We start from the raw sequence: 22,262 nt of genomic DNA on the forward strand, positions 1-22,262 counted from the left end.
GGTTTGGGAGGTCCATGTACTTCATGTTATGTTTGGTGCATACTCTGGGATGGATCACAGTCATGTGGAAGTCTGAATGTCACTATATGCATTTTATTGACTTTACCTTCAATAAATAGAACTCTGTCAGATGCCTTTCAGAAAGGTTGAGAGGTACTCATTGGACTGGGTGATAGGGTGACCATTTGCATATTAAATTTAAGCTACATTAAGTAATGTGGAGAGCAGACAGGCATGTATATGCAAGTATGTATCTAACCCTGAACTCATACGTCTTTTCATAATCTATTGAACGTGATCTTGAACCAAATGCAGTAAAGCAGTCAGAGGCCTTTTAGGACCTTTGTGTCTTGGGCATTCTTTACTCTTGTTTCCACATGAGTTTGCCTTAGCTAAGATCTCCAGTGTATTCCACTGTGATTGTCGATTTTTATAGCATCTCTCTTATTCTTTATTTACCTGTAAGTGAATTAAAATAAGCTGTATTGTGAATTTGGACTTTTGGAGCCCAGATTTCATAAATGGGGAAAGCATTGCTTGGAGTTGTATTTAAATCTAAATGAATACGAGTTCTGAAATGTGGTTCCCCTACTTTTTGCTACACATCTGGACCCACTGAATTTTACAATTGAATTGGACACTTGAAGCACGTCTCATAGGAAATGTCAGCACCAATAATTTTCAGAAGTCATGAAGACATTCCGATGTAAATTTTGCTATCCTGGGTTGTGCACGTGAAGGAGTATGTGAAACTTGGCCAATTGTGCTGAGCATACTTGATTTCCAATACCTGTTAATCCCTTCTTGTGAACTGTCAGTGTTTTTAAAGGAACCCAATGACGATTGGTCTGGTAGTGATATTAGTCATGTTTCAGACTATAAGAGTGCTTATTCACTGATTGATTATTAACTTCTTGGAGCCCCTACTAATCTCATATAAGCCATGTCTGACTAAGAAAATTCAGATTCCATGCCTACAAGCATAATCAGCCCATTTTATTCTCCCATTTACCCACATTTCTCTAGGTTAATGCATTAATTAGTTGTTATAATATTATGAGTATATTAATGCTAACAGCTAGAGGCACAGACACAAATGAATTAAGCCAGGCTGACTTCCAGACCAAATCTTCTCTTGGTCAGGAATCAACCATCTAGCCCTTTCCATCTGAATCAGTACCTGCATGATGGATGGGAGATTAATGAGTGTAACACCTTCTAGGATCTCCAGGGCTTCATCATTAGTATCTGCCACTCTAGAGCAAACGTCCCCAGAAACTACCTTTAATGCTGTCTGCCATCTTTTTTATGTTGGGGAGCAACTAATTTTTCTAAGTCTAATAAATTATACTATGAGAACCATGCATACTCAAGAGCTGGGTGCCTCTCTCCATAGTTCAGGGAGCATCACAGAGTCCTGTAGTTCTTTACAAACAGCACTGCAATGTGGTTGTGAAAAAAATCAAGATCACTTCTCTCTTTCTCTCTCTCTCAATCTCTCTTTCTCTCCTCCCCCATGCCCCATCTCTCTCTGAGGTCCCTAACTTACCTGGCCTGCCCACTTTGCTGGGAACCATTTAATGTCTGAGCATGGTGCTTGAAAAGATACCTGAGCATAGAAATGATTCTGCAACAGAAATGCCTGAGTTGTGTGAGTCTACTCAGCCAGTGAGGAGGATGTATTTGAGGGGCCTGCTGGTTCTATTCATTGTATTGTGATTTTCATCCTTTACTAGTCAGTGGCAGTGTTTATTTATAGGTAGACTCTGTTTTTGAGAATCACCACTTAGCATTATGGGCTATCTGGGTTGTAGTCACACCTAGCCACTTTACAAGTGTGTTTTCTGCAGTGGAAATATAATTTATATAATCACCTTACAGGAAAGGGCCGGAGCTACATTGGTTCATGAGTTTGATGTCGGCGACGTCCATGGACAATGCCAGGCCAGTTTCCCTAATGGCTTATACATGCCACCTCCATATCGTTCCTCCTCAGAACATCGATTTCCCCTACTGTCCTTGGCCAGACCCTACTTATCATTTTAATACCTTTCAGTTCCTGGCAGTCTTCATTTTAGTATTCTGATTTTTTTTGCCCTTTTTTTCTTTAAATATATTGGAACAGGGAGTTTAGAGAGGCTACATCAGGGTCCTCTAACTGATTCTGAAGACACAAGAGAATCTCAGGACAGATTTTAGGTTCTCCCTGCCCTCAAGCCTGCTGTATACTGCTTGGAGTCAGGAGCTTTTGGGCCAAGCAGCTGTGGGACAGGAGCCTCTCACTCCTGCCAACTGTGAGAACCACCAGCCAGGGTGAGGTGCTTCATCCTGCTGAACATGATGTTTGCTTTTAAATCTAAAAACAGATATGATAGTACATTCCTCAGAGGAACTCTATGGATTTGTTAAATGAAATAATGCACATAAACAGCTTAGCCTGGTGCCTGAGTCCTAAGTGCTCAGTAATTATTAATTACTGCCATTATGACTATTATTTTATTGTTATTAATAGAACAGGTTAGAAACATGAGAAAGTTTTAGTGTAAATGCATACACATAAAAGTAAGGACACAGAGTCATAAAATAGTTTATATGAATCATTGCTGTAAGTTTCATGCCAGATAGTCCTTTAAATATTGAGCACACTGCACTTTCACCTTTTAATACTTATTTTATGAATGCAGTTAGTATGAACTCTTTCAGGTAGGCCAACTGTATAGAGTATTTAATGAATCATTTTGAGTAAAAGGTAGCCCTGTATTGTTTTCTTTCTCAATTCCCATTTTATGGGCCCCAATGTTGTGTCACTGTTTCTTTCCCCAACATAAGGCACAGTTGGTGAATGTGAATGTGGCTTCCTGTCCATCATTCAACCCAGGATGATGAAGGAATTTAGATACTACGTGATAGAAAAACAGTGTTCTGGTCTGGGCATGGTGGCTCACACCTGCAATCCCAGCACTTTGGAAGGTGGATTGTTTGAGTTCAGGAGTTTGAGACCAGCCAGGGCAACATGGTGAAACCCTGTCTCAACAAAACATACAGAATTAGCCAGGCATGATAGCATGCACCTGTAGTCCCAGCTACTCGGGAGGCTGAGGTGGGAGGATCCCTTAAGCCCAGGGATCAAGGCTGCAGTGAGCCAAGATTGTACCACTGCACTCCAGCATGGATGACAGAGAGAGACCCTGTCCCCTACCACACACAAAAAATGTTCACCATATACTATGCATTCTCTCTCAATATATCTCTCTCTCCCCAGATACATAATATGTATTTATATATTTATTTAACATATATGCTAAATATCTGCATAATTATAAATGTACTCTAATAGCTTTTTAGTTTCCTAGGGCCAATATGACAAGTTACCAGAAACTTCATGGCTTAAAACATCAGGCATTTATTCTCTCACAGTCCTGGATGCCAGAAGTCTGAAATCAAGGTTTCCGCAAGGCCATGCCCTCTCTGAAGGCTCTAGGGAAGCATTCTTCCCTGCTTCCTCCAGCTTCCAGTGGCTCCAGGTATTCCTTGGCTTGAGGCTGCGTCACTCCAATCTCGGCCTCTGTCTTCACATTGCTTTCCACTCCATGTTCCATATCCCCCTCTGCCTTTCTCTTATAAGGATATCTGTCATTGGATTTAGGGTCTACCCAGGTAATCTAGGATGATCTCATCTTGAAGTCTTTAACCTAATTATATCTACAAAGATCCTTTTTCCAAATAGCATCACATTCACGTATTCCAAGGGCTAGAATAGATATGTCTTTTGGGGGTACCCCCTGCAAACATGCTATAATCATTTTGTCACTTTATCATTTATGTTAAGTTTAGAAACAAAGTTTATTGCTATAACTGTAAAACTCAAGCAAACAAAAACAATGGTTCTTAATAGCTGAAAAAGTATATACCAATACCAAATGCTACTGGAATGTTGAGATCTCTGCAACATGAGGTTGAAGGGAGGCACAATGCACACTTGTAGAAGCCGTTTGAGGAAGTCTGAATTTTCATGAAAGCCATTGATCCAACCTGGACCACATGTCCATTCTTCCAAATGGGAACAGCTGTGGCAGGTCATGAAATGCATGTATCTGAAAAGGGGGGCTGTGGATCTTCCTTTGTGTTCTGCCTTTCAGAACCTGAGGAACTGATCCAAGCCAGCCATGGATGCTGGTAGAGGAAAAGTTTCTGCCAGATCTGCCTGGGCTTTAAGCCTCATCCTCTTTTCCCATCTTCACCCTGTGCTGTGATTGCCTTTGGGTTCTCCAGTGCCATGACTCAGAGATGCCCTCATGTGGGAACATGGCCAGTTCACTGCTTTAGTTGTCATCCTCAGAACCCAGTAAGCTGGCAGGATGAATCAACATCAGACATAGAACTGATACAATTTGATATTTTAACCTCCAGTGCAAAACTGGACTGTCATCTCAATTATTTTCTGGGCCCCACACAACCATTTGACTGGCAGGAAGCCCATTCTGCTAAGTGGATATGGAAGGTATTTTGGATTTCATCCTGACCAGAGAATTCACAGACTATATTTAAATCAGCAAGAAATGCTTATGAAAATGCAGACATGGTTGCTATTGTTTTTGCCTTTAATTTCCATCATTAAACAAGGCAGATAGTGATGCATTACTGCCCATTTGAGGATTGGCTGAGCATTTCTAGAGAGCATTGAGACAGGGCTTCTTACCCTTTACTTACTGGGAGACAGCAGACTATGTCATGACTGACACTTCCCTCCAGCTGCCTTGCTGACATTTAGCCAGCAAAAAGGCTTTCTCTAGATGCCTAGAGTCCTGGGGCATTCCCATGATGGGAACTCTTAAGCATATCCTTCTCTCCTTTGCAGAGTAAAACAAAACCCACAGAAAATCTGACAGAAAATGGAACAGAGCTAACCCTTACTCTGCCATGCACTGTACCTGGGCTTTGTCCATGCCATCTCATTCAATTATCCTAGTGACCCTGTGAGGTAATATGAATGAATAAATGAAGCAGAATACATTATTTCAGCCTCAGGATGCTTATCTTTTGCTTTAAATTGCTACACAACACAGACATGATTTCTTATAACGAAGCCAAATCCCAAAGAGATTAAATTACTTCATGGAGCTCATGTGGACCAAGCTGAGCCTTGAACCTGAACCTACTAACTGAAAATCTTTGTTCTTTCTATTACATCAGGTTGCAAATTAATGCAGATACTGTGGTCTTGCCCTAATTCAAATTTCCCCTGGGCTTTGGACCTGCACCGTCAGAAGCAAAGGGGCATTTAAGATGCCAAGCAGCCTAAGTCACCTAAACAAGCTGCCCAGACAGCCCTGCAGTGAGCTGCCCTGACACCCAACTTCTGCTCAGAGGCTTCAGGAAAAACCCTCATCAGCCAGTGCAGTGTCCAGAAAGTTTGTAGGTTTTTCATGTAGTGAGAAAACCTGCATGTGAGTCCTGCTTAGGATTCTTACTGCTGCATAGCTTTGGGCAAGTCCCTTAATGTCTCCCATCCATCTTGTCCATCTGTGAAATTGGGATAAGATCACTTGTTATGCTTCCAACAAGGAGGATGATGAGGGTAAAGATACACTGTAAACTATAAAAATGACTGTACAAATATTAAGGTGCTGTTACAAGGAGATATATACACTCAGAGATAGATGAAGACAGTCCCTGGCATTATGAATTCCCCAATTGTGATCACTGCCCATAAACACCCCAGGCTCTCACAGAAGCCTAAGATGCAAAAACTTTACCACTGCTTGTGTGCAAACACACCAAGCCACCTAAGCACTTTTGTTCTCATACGGTATTGGGTAGGGGACTTTTATGATTGGAACCTGACAATATTTCCAAGGCCAATGTTTTGTTGACATCTGAACTTGCACAAATTGCCTCATGTGATTTATCACACTAAGTAGATGCCTAGTAAATATTTGTTGAATGGATAAAAGAATGGCTACATGCCTTCTAGATTCTTTTCAGTGCATTGCAAAGGTTACTGTCATCATATCAGGGAGAATAAAGTGCTGACCTTGCAGCCATCCTTGTCAATGCCTGGGTGCCTCTGCTGCTGCCTGCGAGGGCAGCCCAGGGCAGTCTCCAGGGCCGGGGGCCAAGGTGGCAGCCCCAGAGCCATCCTTTTGTCAGGCAGGCCAGGGGTGGGGGTGCCTCTGAAGCCTGCATTGACATATAGCATCTCTTTTTAGTAAAAGTGCCTCCCTAGTGCCAAGTACCCTGCTCAGTTGCAGGTCATGGGTTTTCTCTCTATCAATTATGTTCATGAGTTGCAGGTCTGAGGGTTCCCTCTATCAATTATTTTTGGATTTTGACCCCTGGATCAGTAATCATAATGCTAAATTTTGAGATGTCAAGCCAACATCCTGAATATTCCTGACTTCCTCACTGGGTGATGCTGAGGAAGAAGTAGTTTCTGATACCTGTCACTGTGTTTTGTTCTATCGAGGAAGACACACATACCACCCCGCCCCCCCGATAACTCTGATCCTTGGCCTTGTGCCTAAAATAAAATGTTCACTTCCTAACACCCCTTTTCACATACTTCTCACTGGAGATAGACTTTTATGAATTTTCTATTATGAGTTCACGGACACATGTGATTACGTCCCCTTTGCTTTGCAATACAGAGATGTTACCACGTGACTTGACTGTCCTGAGGCCAAAAAACCCATAAAGATGACATACCAGGCTTGTTATGCGCACTGCTGCCTTTTCATAGCTCATTGCTGGCCCAGGTATTGCACTTTGGGGGCAGAGTCAGAAGTTAATTGAAGCGGCTGCCACATCGCATCTCACAGAGAATCCTTTCTCTAACATGCGTGACTGGTTATGTCTCCATGTAGTGATTCTTCTCTTTTGCTGTGCAAAGCATAACTGGAAATATAAAGTCTTGGGGAAGAGGGACTTTCTTCTTGATTGGAGTGAAAATATGACAGAGGCGGGACTTGTTGAGGAAGTGCTTGCTTCCATGGCTGTCAGCACTTTCCTCTAACAGAGTGAGCCATTTTTTCCAAAAAGTGTTTTTTTGATAATCTTCCTGCATTTTATATACTTCAGTCCATGTTAAGAAGTTTTCTGAGTAGATGGCAAAGAACAATTCTTAAAATGTGCGAATACCAAATGTAAGATAAAAAACATAATTGCAGTTTAGACTTCAGATTTATTTGAAAAGGGGATAATGATAGTAATTACCCAGTTTGAGTTTTGTAGAAGGCTAATTAGATCCCCAAAGCATTTGTATGCACAAGGAAAACCATAAATACAAAAGACCATCTGGTCCTTATCAGCTTACAACACTAATACTGTCTGTAATTATTTTTTCTATACTGTTTTGATGTTGACATTTTATGGAGCAATACATTCTACGCTGGTTAGGGAATAACCTACATTTCTGAAAAGCTGGGGGTTTGCCCCCTTTTTTCCTAATAAAAGTTTTAGGACTCCAAAGGCAAAGAAGACACTGCTTTTCAGAAAAAAAAAAAAAACAGGTAAACATCTTTTCATTATACCCATTTGTACTAGAAATGTGTTGTTTATAAACCTCTCTGGCTTATCTGACTTGTCTTGTTAGTAACTTAGTCTACTAAATGCTTGGATTCAGTTAAGTTTCTTTGTTTGCTTTTTTTTAGGTAAAGTTGGGAATGACACATTTAGCTGTGTTGTGTGTGCATAGAAATGCAGCCTTCATTAGTCACTACTTTCTATAGTTAGCGCTGTCCCTGGCAATTTGGATATTACAAAAGTATTTAATAACATTATTTGTTTTCATGTTCATTCTTTGTCTCCCCTACTAGTGTGACAGAGATATTTGTCTCATTCATTTCATTTTATCTCCAGCTCCTACAACATTGCCTTGTACATGGTGGGTATTCCACAGCTCTGTGTTGAAGTGAATGGGTAAATGAAGTAAAATACATGATTTAGATTTACATCATGTATTCTACTTCATTTATCCAATCGCTTCAACAAATAGCCTCTGGATGCTTATGACTGATTTGCTATCAATTGTTACATAACAAATAATCCCAAGATTTAATGTCTTACAACAATCAACATTTCATTCGATTTCAAGATTCTATAGGAATTCAGGCAGGAATTGGATGAGAATTCTTTAGTTCCGGATGGCATTGATGGAGGTCACTTGGTGGTGGTCAGCTGGTTGATGGACTGTCTAGAGAGCCCAGGACAGCTTCAGCATAGGCCTAGTTCATAAAATAGATGGATGGAAGGCTAGGCTCAGTTGCGACTGTTAACAAAAGTACCTGCATGTGGCTTTTTCTCATGGCTTAGAATTTCTACAACATGGCACATCAGGGTTCTAAGAAGTCCAGAGAGAATGTGCTAGTTGTCTGAGAAGATAAGCCTGAATTGCCATGACATTACTTCTACCATATTCTATTGGTCAAGCAAGTCACCAAGGCCAGCCCAGATTCAATGGGAGGATAATTAGACTCTTCTTCTCCATGAGAGAAGTACAAAAGAAATTGCAGCCATCTTTAATGTTTCATACCAGCTAGTTGAAGGGAAAGGCATACTTACTGAGCAACTCTAAAACAATGTTTAAACAAAAACACTAAGTTCCGTATGCAGAACTCTCACATTAATGCAGAGTAAGAAAATCAACATGAGGAAGGAAGTCTTCATGGAGGTCAGGTTTGAGTTTTGGGCTGAGCCTGGAAGAATAGATAAGGTTCAAATCATGAAGGTACTGGAGAAGAGTATTCCCAAAAAAGGAACATTTTGCTTAAACACAGATGTGCACCCAGAGTTGTCAACACTGATAACATTTATCTAGCAGCTGTTAGTTTGCAGTACATTAGTGATAAAAGGACATGGCCATCACCATTTTTGGAAGGACTTGTAGGAAACAGCATACACAATTTCTAAATGTATTTTCTGTGAAATGCTAATTGCATCCCTCATTACAGAATCCCTTGTGAGAATCATACTAGGCATAGCTTTTTTAGACCTGTTCTGCTTGCTTCTTTCTGATAAGAACTAGGACAATTCCTATTTTCTTTTACCCATTGGCTTTTAGGATGCTCAGACCCAAGATTGAAACTGAATCAATAATGTTGAGCCTTCCATTTGGCATTTTTTGCAATATCCCCTTTTCTTTGATCTTAATACTTTAATTATCTTTCGTTTTGCTCTTTTGTAGCATGAATGGTTTGCTTTAATCTCTCTCAAAAACTTTCCACAAACTCAGTTGAGCAACTTAGAAAAAGATATATAAAGATGAATAAATAAAAGTTTGATCTTTATTTTAAAAGAACATATAGTTTAGGTAGGATTCATATACAGGAGGATGTTATGGACAACAGAACATTTGAGGAATGGACTCCAAATGACATAATTGCTCAAAATAAGATGAACAAGGTGAATTGTGGACACTGGATTGAGTCTTTGAAAGCTAGGATGAAGAGTCTAGTCATAACTGGAAAAACTCTACATCAATATTACATAGTATTTTAAACTGATACAGCATGCACTTTTCTGCAGAAGTTAAATATTTCAAGGATATTCTGAACTCTTCTTCATCTAGGAAACAGATGATAATTCTTATAACATTTTTCAGCCCAATAGCATTGAGGGCTCAACATGAACAGCAGCTTCTACCAGGGGCTCTGGGAGATGTCAAGTCCAGTAAGATACATTTCCTACTTCCAATGAGCTTATAGTTTTGCAACCAATAAACTATCAATTAAATGGAATTTCCTCAATCATGTTTCTGGATCTTAATACCTCTGGCCCTCTAAACAAGGAACGCAGGAAACAGTAGACATTTGCTTCATGTTTGGTTGGAGAAATAGATTGCTCCAGGATAAGCAGGGTTTTAAAATAAATGTTAAAAGTACAGAACAGGAAATTATCAAGCAGAATATGTGCCTGTCTTCATGCTGTATGTTCATCCAGTGAAAAAATATGCCTAGTTTTATTTCACTAGTAGACCTGGATTTCAGTAGGTTGATTTCATCTGTTAGGGATAGAAGAGCCGGAAAGAGGATTTCAGTAGGAATTCACCTGACCATGAGGAAAGTGGTCAAGGAATGAAGACATTGGAGGCATAAGGTCTTCTTCTCTTCCTTCTGGAGATTTGGTCTCTCATGCTCTATTCCTATGACAGTAGTGGTAGGTAGGGTAGGGAAGATGGCAGAGTTCTTTCTGGGATGAAGAGAGCAGATGAATTGCATTGCCATGTTTTAGTTTGGAGGAATGAGGCTTTCTGCAAAGAATGTATATGAAGATGATTACTTGAAGAAAAACTATAGTCATTGACCCCACTGAAAATCAGAGGAAGTGCTTTAATAGTTTTGCATATAAGTGGCACCTTTGACCACTCTTACCTTTGGGGGTGTGCTGTGCAGGCCCCTCCAGGACTAAGTCACCAATTCCTCCTGCTTCTGGAAGTTTTGGCAGTTGATGACTCTCAGCTGATTCTAGGAATAGCGTTCAGGTGAAGAGAGCCCCTTTGCCCTCTCCAGGGATAGGTCCAAATGCCTGGCCTGCCTCCCTCAGAGCAGAACAACACTGCAGTACCTTCCCAGCTCCAGAGCTCCTCCTGGATCCACTAATGCCTTCTGTCATTCGTTTTCTGCCTCTGCCCAATCCTACTCCCTTTACAGCCCCACAGCTGTTGACACTTTAAGCTACATGCTCATCTCCACCTCAGTTTGCTTCCTGGAGGATCTGAGCCCAAGACATGGACCATCTATAAAATTGTGTCCCAGAACCAGGATTCAACAAACCATTGTGACGGCCATGCTCATTGCCTTGGACTGGTGCCAGGCATGAAGATCCACATTTAAATAAGGCCTGTGAAGACACTGCAGTCGGAAGCTGTCCAGAAACGAGTATGGATCACACCGGAATACTGCAAAGTATCTCTGGATTACTTCCTCCAGAACTGAACACTGACTCCCCTCTCCTTCTGCTCTCCCTTCTGTTTTCATCTCTTGTTTCTACAGCCCTGTTCTGAGTCCCACCTGCTCCATTTATCTTTATAATTTAGCTTCAAAATGCACCTGCCCAGTGAGGCATAAATGGTGATATTTGTCTCTCATATTCAGTGTGTGGAAAAGTGTCGGGGCACGTGAAGAAACAGATCTCACCCTGGATTGTGATGAAGACTGGCATTTCTCCTAATTATAAAGAATATAGGATTCCTGGATCTATTGATTTCCATTAAACTTGTGTAGAGTTATGAATCTTAAAATGGAAGTTTACAACTATAGATACCTTAGGATAGCGTTTTATAGCAAGCAGGACTCTAGAGAGCACCATACAAATCAGCATTTGATGCTTGTCTTAGGGTTTTATGATTTAAAGAATTGCTTGTACTTTATCTGCAACTATATCCCAGCTATCCCTTGTAATTCTGGCCTGAGTGAGGGAAAAAGCTATTGCCAAGGTGAAGGCAGAGCTCTAGACCTCTCCTGAAATTGGTTATTTTCTTCCTTCACTCCCTTTTCCTTTTAGCTGCTGTTGAGGACTTGTTCCTTATCATGTTGCCAGTGGGTCCCTGCTCTGGATGTCCATCACTCATGATTTGGAAAGATTCTCCCCAAAGTTGCATAGCAGGAGTTTTGATTGTGCCTCAGCGCTTTGTTAGCCAGACCCTCATCACTGTGGGCTACACACATCGCCATGGAATGCAGGGATGTCAGAAAAATGAAACTGGGCCTTCCATCCTAATTTAAAGCCAGATGGGTCTGCCTTAGGTACGTTCTTATGTCAGCGATCTAGATATTAGATGGTGAGAGATCAAAGTGAAATCATAAGTGAATCCTCCTTTCTTCATTATCTTTTCTTATTCTTTAAGCGAGCATTTGTTAAACACCCACTTTGTATGTTCATATATATATATATATATATATATATATATATATATATATATGCACCTTCTTTCTCTTTCTCTCCATTTTCTTTCTCCTTTTCACTTTATTTCTGTAGGAAATAATTGAAGTCATACCCAAAGAGAGTGCTGGGTGCTAACCTTTGTATACGGTGAAGAAAAGTTTCACCTGTCCACCTAAGAGTTATAAAACATTAGAGAACTGATGAATAGGTCTATAGGAGCTGATTGAAATGCCATTTTTTTTTTGCCATTATGATTGGATGTATACCTTGCATCCTACCAGAATGCTGGTGTCTGTTCTTCCTTCCAGGAACCAGAGAGGGGACACTGGCTGCTCTTGAGGGTTATTTGTTCTAGCCTCTGGTGGAGATTGATGAACTATTCTTCCTTCTGCTTTACAAGATCTTAACTTCCTGATGACATGAGTCTTCCAGATATTGTATTTGTCCCCTGTATGCTGGGGATTCTTGACAAATCTTAATATTCACAGCCTCGCTACATACCTATCCTTCTGTTTGCACTCATTAATACGCACTGTCCTTCTTATTTCAACATTCAGCTATTGCTGAGTTCATGTGCTATTATTTTTCAAGTACACAGGGAGTAGTGGTTCCTTAGCACAGAGTCTTTGGAATCAGACAGCCCTAGGCAGTGGACATGCTGATAAGAATTGGCTCTTTAACAACAAAAAAGCCCTGATTGGTAATGCTTGCTGATTTTTGTGGTGTAAATACTCCCATTGCAGCCAATTTCAAGCTACCAAAGTGAAGTCATTGAACATGGAATTGAGGAAGATGAAAGCACAGTTGGTTGTCATGAGCTGGTGCCAGACACCGTCATCCCTAAGACTGAGCCCAAGATCACCCCTTGCTAGTTCTGGAGATCATTACTTAGCTCCTCTCAGTCTCACCTTCCTCATTTATGAAAGGGGGTTAATATGAAAATACTTACCTTAAAGGGATATTGTGAGGATTAAATGATATTTCATGAATAGCACTTAGTTTAGCAGGAGGAACATATTAATAACAATCATTCAGTAATGGATAGCTAGTTAGCTAGGTATGCTAGGTACCTTAACCTCATCAGTAATGCAGCTTGCTCTCTGGAGTAAGCATTCCTTCGGATGAAGTTTTCAGTATAAACCAACTCAGTTCATGATGTTGGTTTCAGTTGTGGAAAGGGGTTGGCCTCCTTTGGTTTGTGGATATACTTAACAAAGTAAGGCTGGTAGCCCTGCTCATCTCCTATAGTTCCAGCATCTTCTTTACTTTACAGCCAATTGTCAAATGGCTACTGTTCACAAAAGAGTCTGCTGTGCTAGATGTTGGGAGGAGAAATGCCTGAGTGTACCTAGACCTTGCTCAGGCAGTTTGTGGTTTAGTGGAAGAAGACAGGAATGTGTGCAGGTAACGTGGAATTGTGAAGATGGCTGGGCTGAAGGGAGTCAGGGAAACAAGCACCTTTGATGCTGCAGGCTACTTCCCATGAGGGCCCGTTTGGGCTTGGTCAATGCACTCAGCTTCAGGAATAGGCACAGTATGGAACATGCTTTCCTGGTGTGTGAATCATTCCCAAGTGTGGAGTAGAAAAGGCTTGTTGCTCCTCTAATCCCTTCTGGAACTATGTGTTCCTTCAGATTAGAGTCTCCATGGGGACATCTGTGTCTTCTAATAGGAGTTGAGACACTTTTTTTTGTCTTAAAATAAATCCACCTGTCCCTACTGCATTCTTTCTCAGTCAGTCTGAGTCAAGGGTGCACAATAAATTCTTTGAAATTGTATTCATGATGAGAGCAGACACCTCTGCCAAAATGGTCAGTCCCCTGCACACTTCCAGATTTCCAGTTTTTCCTCCAGTCTATTTTCTTCCCCCAGATTGTGTAGGGAATGCGAATCCACCAGGTCACCATTTGTCTCTGTTAGACCATGCCAAAGCTATAGTTGTCAAAATTTTATTCCCCAGCTCTTGAACTTCTAAGTGTTTGACGTTGTGTCTAACAACATCAAACATCTAAGCATCTAGGGGATGCTTTTCCTTAAAGAAATGAAAATCAATTTGATCACTTGCATAAACTATTCATTTCCATTGTCCATCTTTTCCTCTGGGTGTAAACACTTTGAAGGTAAAGGATTCACTTTTATATACCTAGCCCCACAGAGAGCTGACAGTGTGGAACACATAGATTCACTTGCAATCATCTCAGCAACCCCAGGAAGGAGGTATTGTTTTATGTCTTTTATATACATATTGAAACACAGGGTTTAGTAACAACCCCCCTCTGCAGTCGTGGGATGTAACCAGGGCTGACTCCAAAGCCTCTGCTCCCAGGCCTTGGCAGCCAACACCCCACTTTTATCCGCTGGGCACAAGGCGCTACCCCTGGCCACACAAATCCATCTGGAAAAGACCTCCATTCTCATTGAAACCACAGGCCATACACATACATTGGTCTGGCTAGTTAAGAAGGTTAGATATTCAAATAACATAATTTTAAAATATTTAATTTCACTGTTCTTTTAAGGCCATAAAACTGACTTGCTTTTAAGAATTTACAAAGACACTTTGAAGAGATAAATTTACGGAAAAATCTGGCCCACATTTTCCAATAAAACTGGTCCTGTGTTCCTCAGAGCTACAAACAAGGCTTTGATGAAAACACAGAAATCAGTAGCTTGCCTAGGATGAAGAACATGAGGCTTCTCCTACTCATTCTCAGTTCCCCAGAGACCATCTTCTTCCCATGGATATTTCCCTTTGCTTTAACTGCTCCTCAGAAACCGGCGAATGGGAGGAAAGGAGTCTAAAGACACCGGGGCTGGGAAACGATAGCTGTTCTTTGGTATGTGTATGTGTGTATCCCTGTAATAATTTCCCCTTTAAATATAGAAGCTGGGAAGATGCTTCCTGAAGGTGCTACCACCTCTTCCAGCCCTGGCTTCTTCCTCATTTCCCTTTGCTTCTGTCCTGCATTTGGGCTCACACTCTGTTTAAAATCCCCTTCTCAGACAGGCACAGTGGCTCACGCCTGTAATCCCAGCAGTTTGGGAAGCCGAGGCGGGTAGATCACCTGAGGTCAGGAGTTCGAGACCAGACTGGCCAACATGGTGAAACCCCGTCTCTACTATACACAAATTAGCTGGGCATGGTGGCACATGCCTGTAACCTCAGCTACTTGATAGCCTGAGGCAGGAGACTCTCTTGAACCCAGGAGGCAGAGGTTGCAGTGAGCTGAGATTGTGCCATTGCACTCCAGCTTAGGCAACAGAGCAAAACTCTGTCTAAAAAATAAATAAATAAAATTAAATCCCCTTCTCTGCTTGACAAAAGTGTATGTGTGTGTGCTCGCATGCGTGTGCACACGTGTGCATGTCCTTCGGTATCCAATTAAAATGTTCCTCCTCCATAAGACCTATTTGAATGCCCGAGCCAGAATTCGTGGAACCTACTTCTGTGTCCTGGTGGCACTTTCTGTCATGCCAGTGGCCCACATCTGCTGCCTTGTGGTATTAGCAATTATGGCTGTGCCTGGTTTCAGAATATTGCTCGAAGCTGATAGATAAGCTCCTTGAGATGGGGCCTGAATCATCCATGCAGGTTACCTTCCTACCAAGATGCTCTGTATACTGCAGTGTTCAGTAAAGGCTACCAAATCATATCTGCTTTCCAAAAATTTACTAAAATATAAATATTCTGGGGACACCCAGAACTCCCTTTACTAAAGCAATTGGTTGCTCTAGCAGTATTAAGAGACAATGGGGTTTGTTTCACAATAGAGCTTAAATCATTACATTAATTGTTTCCATATGTTGCAGTTGGAAAGTCCAGTTCCTTGTTATTCTTCCTACTGTGATCCTAATAAATTACATTGTCTCTTCTTGGCTGCTGGAGCCTAATTAGCATTAATTCTTCAGTGAATTTTAAATATATTCACTATCCTTTCCTATTTTTCACTAGAATAGATTATTTGTGCTGTCACTAAAGCAGGGTCTCTCGTGGTTCTAGAAAAGCCATTTCTACACACATTACCTGCCACTTCTCACAGCTCTCCATAAATCCCATAGCAATACCAAAATATTTCTAAGCTTTTCCATCTTTAGTTTTAAATTTTGCTTTCAAATTTTTAAATTACCCCATTATAAGGTATTGTTTATTTCTTTTTCTGTAGCATATTTTCAAATTAGCTTAACTATCTTTCTTTGCAAATAGTGGCAAAAATCCACTCAGTCAAAGGACTTTAGCTATATTGTACCCCGCTGCAGCATTCAGGAGATAAACTGATGAGAAACTAGTTCATTACACATTTCCCTCAGAATCCCAACCCACCTTTCAATCTGGTTTCCCATTAATTCTTTTCAGTTCTGTAAGTTCCAGCCAGAATGGGTACAGTTTGGAAATCAGAGAGACTAGCATCTGGAGCATCTATACATGGATGATTCACCAAAATGGACCTCTTGCCTATATGTCCAATTTTCTTCTGAACACACACATTCAGATGGCTAACAGATTTGTCCAGCTTAAGAGGAATATAACAGAATTCTTGATTTCTCTCTACCGGGTCCTCTTACCTGTATTACCAAAACCTGCTGCTTCTTGCTGCTTTTCCATCTCCATAAATGGTGCTACCGTCTGCCTAGCTATGCAGGCCAAAAACCAAAGCACAACAATGAAAGATAAAACAAAATAGAAATAAAAAATGTAACTCACCCATTATTTATCTCTCTCTTTTTCTTACTCTTCACTTCCAAGGTGTCAGTAAGTCCTATTGGCCTGTCCCTAACCCAACCACCACTACTATATTTACTGCTGAAACCCTGGCACAACTATCATCTTCTCACCCAGATTACTGCAAAGCACAACAGGTCCGTCTGCTTTTATTCCTGTTTCCTTTGCTCCAGTTCCACATAGCAGCTAAAGTAATCTTTTTGAAAGAACAAGTCAGATCATATCAGTTCCTTATTTATCACCCAACAACAACTTCCTCCTGAAAAAAATAAGATTCAAGTTCCATAATATCCTACATGACCTCACCAAGTCATCTCCTTTTCCTCTCTTCTTGTAGCAGCTTCCATGGCCTGCTTTCATTCCCTCCTGTAAGTTCCTACCTCAAGGCATTTGTAGCCCCATGGGCCTATAATGACCTCTTCCAGGTTTCTGAAAGGTTATTGCTTTCTGATAATTCAGGTCTCAGTTCATATAACACCTCCTCAGTCAGGCCTTCCATATCCCTCTTACTAAAGTAGTCACTCTCCCACTCAACACTATTCACCCAACATGTATTAGTTATCATGTGGCATTCTCCTTCTGGCCTGTATCACTATCTAGGATAGGTAAATGAATGAATGAATGAATGAATGAATGAGATGGGTTACTTGTCTCTTCTCAGGAGAACACAATATCTTGGAGGACAGCAACAGGGTCAGTTTTGATACACTCTGTATTTCCAGCACCTAGAACAATTTTTGGCATTGTGAGGACAATAAATATTGAATGAATTAATGACTGATTGAATGAATTCAGGAATACTGGACCTATCACTTTGGGACCATGGACAAATCACTTAATTCCTCTACATTTGTTTCTTCATCTATAAATTGGTTTTGTTGGCAGGACAGAAGGTAATCATTACATAAAACTCTCAGTAAAATAAGCAATAATCATTGTTCATTGTGACTGTTGTTGTTTCTCTGTATATTTCTTTTCTCATCATCCCATCTACTTACTCCTGACTCTTTGTGCTTGGTTCCCCTTGAGGTACGCCACAAACCTTCCCTGGCCCTCCCAGCTAGAAGTGCCCTCTTCTGACTCCAACTTCCCAGTGTGTTTGCCTTGAATATGGCTCTTACCCAACCCTCTCTGCCTGTATTCAGCTATTCAACGTTCCTTTATTGCCGTCAATGGACCAAACATTTATGCTGGGTGCAAGCATTTATTTTTTGGTCTATTTCTGAAGCTTGCTTAGAAGCTTCTTGAGAGCAGATCTATGTCTGATTAGCTTTGTAACCTTGCATTGTCCAGAATTACGTCTTCATTTAGTCCTCATTTCATAAATATGCAATGAATTACTGTAACTGAAACTTAAGCTACTGGATGCATTAAATCCATCCCATTTTGTCCATTGCCACATTTCACAGGGAAACAAGAGGGATGGGGCTGTGAGATACTTGAAATATTTGCCCATCTCGCTGCCAGAGGCCCACAGAGTTTTGGGGTTATGAGCCCCTAGAACTAGGTTGCCTGGCTCCAAATTTGATTCAAACTATCGGCTCTGCTCTTTTTGACATACGTTCCTACTAGGAACTTTGATTACCAAGTCATCTTGGATATAGAAACAAAATTATACAGTGTTCAGTGGTATAAAGATGGGGGTTGGTTGTTGACTTTCCCTTTGTCACAGCTAGAATACAGCCAGTCAGCACTTGATTAATTTCCTTTGTTCCATTAAAATCTACCATAGTGCTGATCTAGTGACCTAGGGGCTCACAAGTGAATCCTTGCCCTGGGCAAGGTCCATCAGCCTCCAATGTATAGATGCTTTTACTACTTTACTTTCCACTTCATTCTCAAAAACAAATATGTAGGAAGTTTTTATAATTCAAGCCACCTGCTCATTGCATGTAGACATCTTCTTGATGTAATGGCACAACCAAACCACCAGACACCAACATAAACTTTCCACTACAATGGCTTAGACCACCATTAGTTCTGCTTTTTTTTGCCATCCCAGTAATGGGTTGTTAAGTTTAAATTTACTTTCTAATTCACAGCAACTGTAGTTTTGTTAATTACTTTAAATGGTTTCTGTGTAAAAAATACTTAGCATTAATGGCATTCTTTGGATTTTTAAGAGTGAGTTACTTTCATTAATTAGCCAGTTAATATAGCATATCTGGGTAGAGGACTTTATCAGCTTGGATTTCATTTTATTGATGGAAGAACTAAAGCAGATTGATGCAGACTCGACCCTTGGAACTCTTCATAAAATGTCTTTTACCATTTATTTCTTTACCACTTTCTCCTCTGCTTATTTTACCACATCTTCCCACCCCCTAAACACCTGGCTTACAGACTGGAGTATGTGTGTTAGGGGAGGGGGTGCAGGGGTAAGGTGGGGTGGGGAGAAACAGCTGTGGCACAAAAGAAAATGTACCAGTACCAGGGAGTAAGCTAGAGAAGACCCTGTTCTACAGGAAGAGTGTTGGTTGAAGCAGGGGTTTATATTTCCACAGGAAAGTCACATTGGTAAGCATTTTTCAGATCTCTTTGTATAAAGCATGCCCGTTTTCCAGTGGTATTACCAAAGACCCCAACCCCAACCCCAGAATGGGATTGGGCTGATCCCCTATTACTCCAAGTGGTTGGTCATCCCCAAAATATATCTCCAGTAGTACATCCAGCCATCTGCCCAGTAAACTAAAGTGAGTAAATTTTGCTGAACAAAGATAATCATGAAAGGGTAAATGTAGTCATTTCATGCTTCCTGGGCAATAATTTTGCTGGCAGAAGTTCAGTCAACAGCATTTGATTATTCTCTGCATTGTGGGCATGTAGACAGGAAGTAGTGGGCACAGCCCCGGACTCTGAGGTAGCCAAGTTTATGTGAGGGCTGTGAAATTAACATGTAAAGTACAGATGAGTGCCTTCGATGGGCACTGTGAAAGGAGACATCTTTACTTTTACAAATGATGGGATGTTGGAGTGTGCTGTGGAATTCACAAATCTTTGAAGCCCTCCCAGATGAGTTACACAGCATTTTGTCATTTGAACAACTAGGAATATTTATCAAATTTTCAGAGGACATAAAGATAAAAGGGACAGTGAATACTTTCAAATATTTCATCCAGATTCAGGAAGACCTCAGATGCTAAGAACGGGTTGATGAAATCTAAATTAGTAGAAACTGGATTGAAATTCAGTTCATGGCTCTAAAGCCTGGGACATGTTAGACCCAACTAATCCATTACAAAGGATAGGATACTCCTAGCACATTTTTAGTGGTCTGACAATATCTGAAATTTCACGTCCAATTCTGCATTATATAGACCAGCGCTGTTCAATGGAAAAGCAATAGGAGCCATATATGTAATTTTAAATTTTCTACTTGCCACATTAAAAAAGTGAAAAAAAGGCTAAAATAATTTAACAACATATTTTATTTAGCTCAGTATACAGGAAACATTATAATTTTGATATTTAATGAATATTAAGCATGAATAAGATATTTTACATTTTTATACTAAGTCGTCAAAATCCAATGTGCATTTTACGCTAACAGCACATTTCAATATGAATGTTATGTTTTCCTCAGAAATACTTCATCTGTATTTAGATTTCATGAAATTTACAGTTGGAAAAATAAGCTCACTTAAACAAGTTGTTCCAAATATATTTGAGAAGTGTCCAAAAGTGGAATTAAATATAAGTTTTTAAATTTAAGTTTGAACTATTTAAAATTAAGTGAAATTTACAAGTCGTCTTCTCAGTTACACTGGCCGCATTTCATGTGTTCATGTGAAGATGTTAGCTACCATATTGCACAGCACAGGTTCAGACTCAGCATCATTCACAGCATGGTGAGTGGGGTGAGGCAGGGTCTCAATCAGAAACAGTAGGCAAGACAGGGCTTGCTTGGTATCTATCAGAGACACAGGGGAGGAGGCTGGACTGAATGACCTCTACCTTGCTCTGAGTTCATCCAGTTTTTCAGAATCCAGCCCCAGCGATCTTGCCCTTTTGCCTTGCTGCCTCCCTAGAGGCTGCTGACTCCGTACTGACTTAAGTAAACAAGGCCTGAGCAGTTTTAGTCTTTCAGATATTTGCTATGCCACGTGTTTTCTCAAGTTCTTCTCTAAAAGTAGAGATGCTTGTAGCTCCTTGAGGGCCCATCACATTTTCTGAATGGATAAACTCTCCTTTAGAAAGACAGCTGGTTCAGCATGCCCCATCAGCTCAGCATAAGCCCTGTTCAATGAGCTGTCAGTGCCTTATGGATAAAGGGTGTAAAAAATGGTTGTCCTCAATGACTCGCCTATTGTCATCATCGTCATTATCATCATCATCATCATCATCATCATCATCAATATCAACATCAACATTGCCATCATTTTCCTGGCCCCTTTTCAGTTCATCAAATCCTCACTATCTAACTGCAGGCTCCTGTTTGGGGATAGGGGACACTAAATTCTTGTACTACATGTCAAGCTGTGTAGGTTATGGAAAAGAGAAAAGAAAAGAAAATGTGGTAGGCATTTTTATGTAACCTTGCCAGAGGGAAGGTGGGCTAGCTCTTCCTACCTCTTTCTAACAGTTGAAAATACTAAAATTCACAGAGGCTAACCAGCTTGCCGCAGCTCACATGAGTGGGGCTTAGATGTAAATCCAAGTAGGGATTGATTCCCAAGTTCTTGTTATTTCTGTTATTCATTCCTACTGAAGAATAGAACTCAGGGAATAAAATAATACAGGTCCCCATTGTAATATGATTTTGTTGTACATTGAGTTTCTACAACCAAATGAAGGTGCAGTCGTTAGCCTAGAAAGCTGATGGGAAAATTACTTTTTTACTGCTTTGTTATCAGTTCATGGACCTAAACTTCAAATAAGGATTCTACTTCCACTTTTTCCTTCTATGCATGCTCACAAATATTATCTTACACCTTTTCTCACACTTCTTCATAATTATCCCTATTTTGCAGATGAAAAATTCAGGAAGTCTCTGAGAGGAAAAGTAGGTGTTTCAGGTAAAAACATTGGTTTCTTGTGAAATAATATCTCAGGAGGGATGCTACCTAGGTTCAGACCCTCTAGAGCATAAAAGAAAAAGGGTGAGAAGCTGATGGTAGAAGATGGCCTTGTTTCTGTATCGTGAGTTATGAGTGCTGATTGTCAGTGATGAAGACACATTGCAGGAAGTAGCCAAGTGGGAGAGGTGGAGGTGGGTTGCCAAGAGCATCTCAGGAAACTCAGACTGGAACTCCTGCAATTGTGGACACCAACCCTGTGAATGTGTTGTTTTTACACAGTAACTCTCTGAGGGAAGTTGAAAAGGTACTAGGAAAAAATGGCTGAAGCATCAGCCAAGATTTAGAGCCCTTTCTTGTGGTTTTCGCTTAGCCAAATGTTGAGAATATGGCTGTACATTCCAGGCAGCATAGAGGAGAAACTCGAGAGTAAAACCACGGCAGACTTAGTGCAGCAATGATACACACCACTTAGTATTCTTTTTTTTTTCTTAAGCTAGTGAACTAGCAAGAGTTCTACATAATAACAATCCAAATAACTCATTGAATTTCTAGCAACATTTGTTTATTATTTATTATTATTATTGGCAAACTGAACATCTAACCTGAGAGTAAAATGCTGATACGAAACACATGACCATTTGTGC

General features: G+C 40.5%; 1 protein-coding gene and 1 long non-coding RNA gene across 12 annotated transcripts in view; one reads left to right on the top strand and one right to left on the bottom strand.

Moving 5' to 3' along the window:
* FAT3 (FAT atypical cadherin 3) overlaps nucleotides 1-22,262 on the top strand; it is a 671,656-nt gene that overhangs the window by 413,182 nt on the left and 236,212 nt on the right. The gene's annotated exons all lie outside the window — the stretch shown is intronic.
* Nucleotides 10,156-21,340, bottom strand: LOC124902732 (uncharacterized). Its single transcript, XR_007062837.1, has 3 exons — nucleotides 16,583-21,340; nucleotides 10,368-10,460; nucleotides 10,156-10,246 (listed from the first exon to the last, which is right to left on the bottom strand). It is a non-coding gene; the product is annotated as an uncharacterized LOC124902732 (long non-coding RNA).

Source organism: Homo sapiens, chromosome 11, assembly GCF_000001405.40.
Source record: "Homo sapiens chromosome 11, GRCh38.p14 Primary Assembly".
In the NCBI taxonomy this organism is placed as follows: domain Eukaryota; kingdom Metazoa; phylum Chordata; class Mammalia; order Primates; family Hominidae; genus Homo; species Homo sapiens.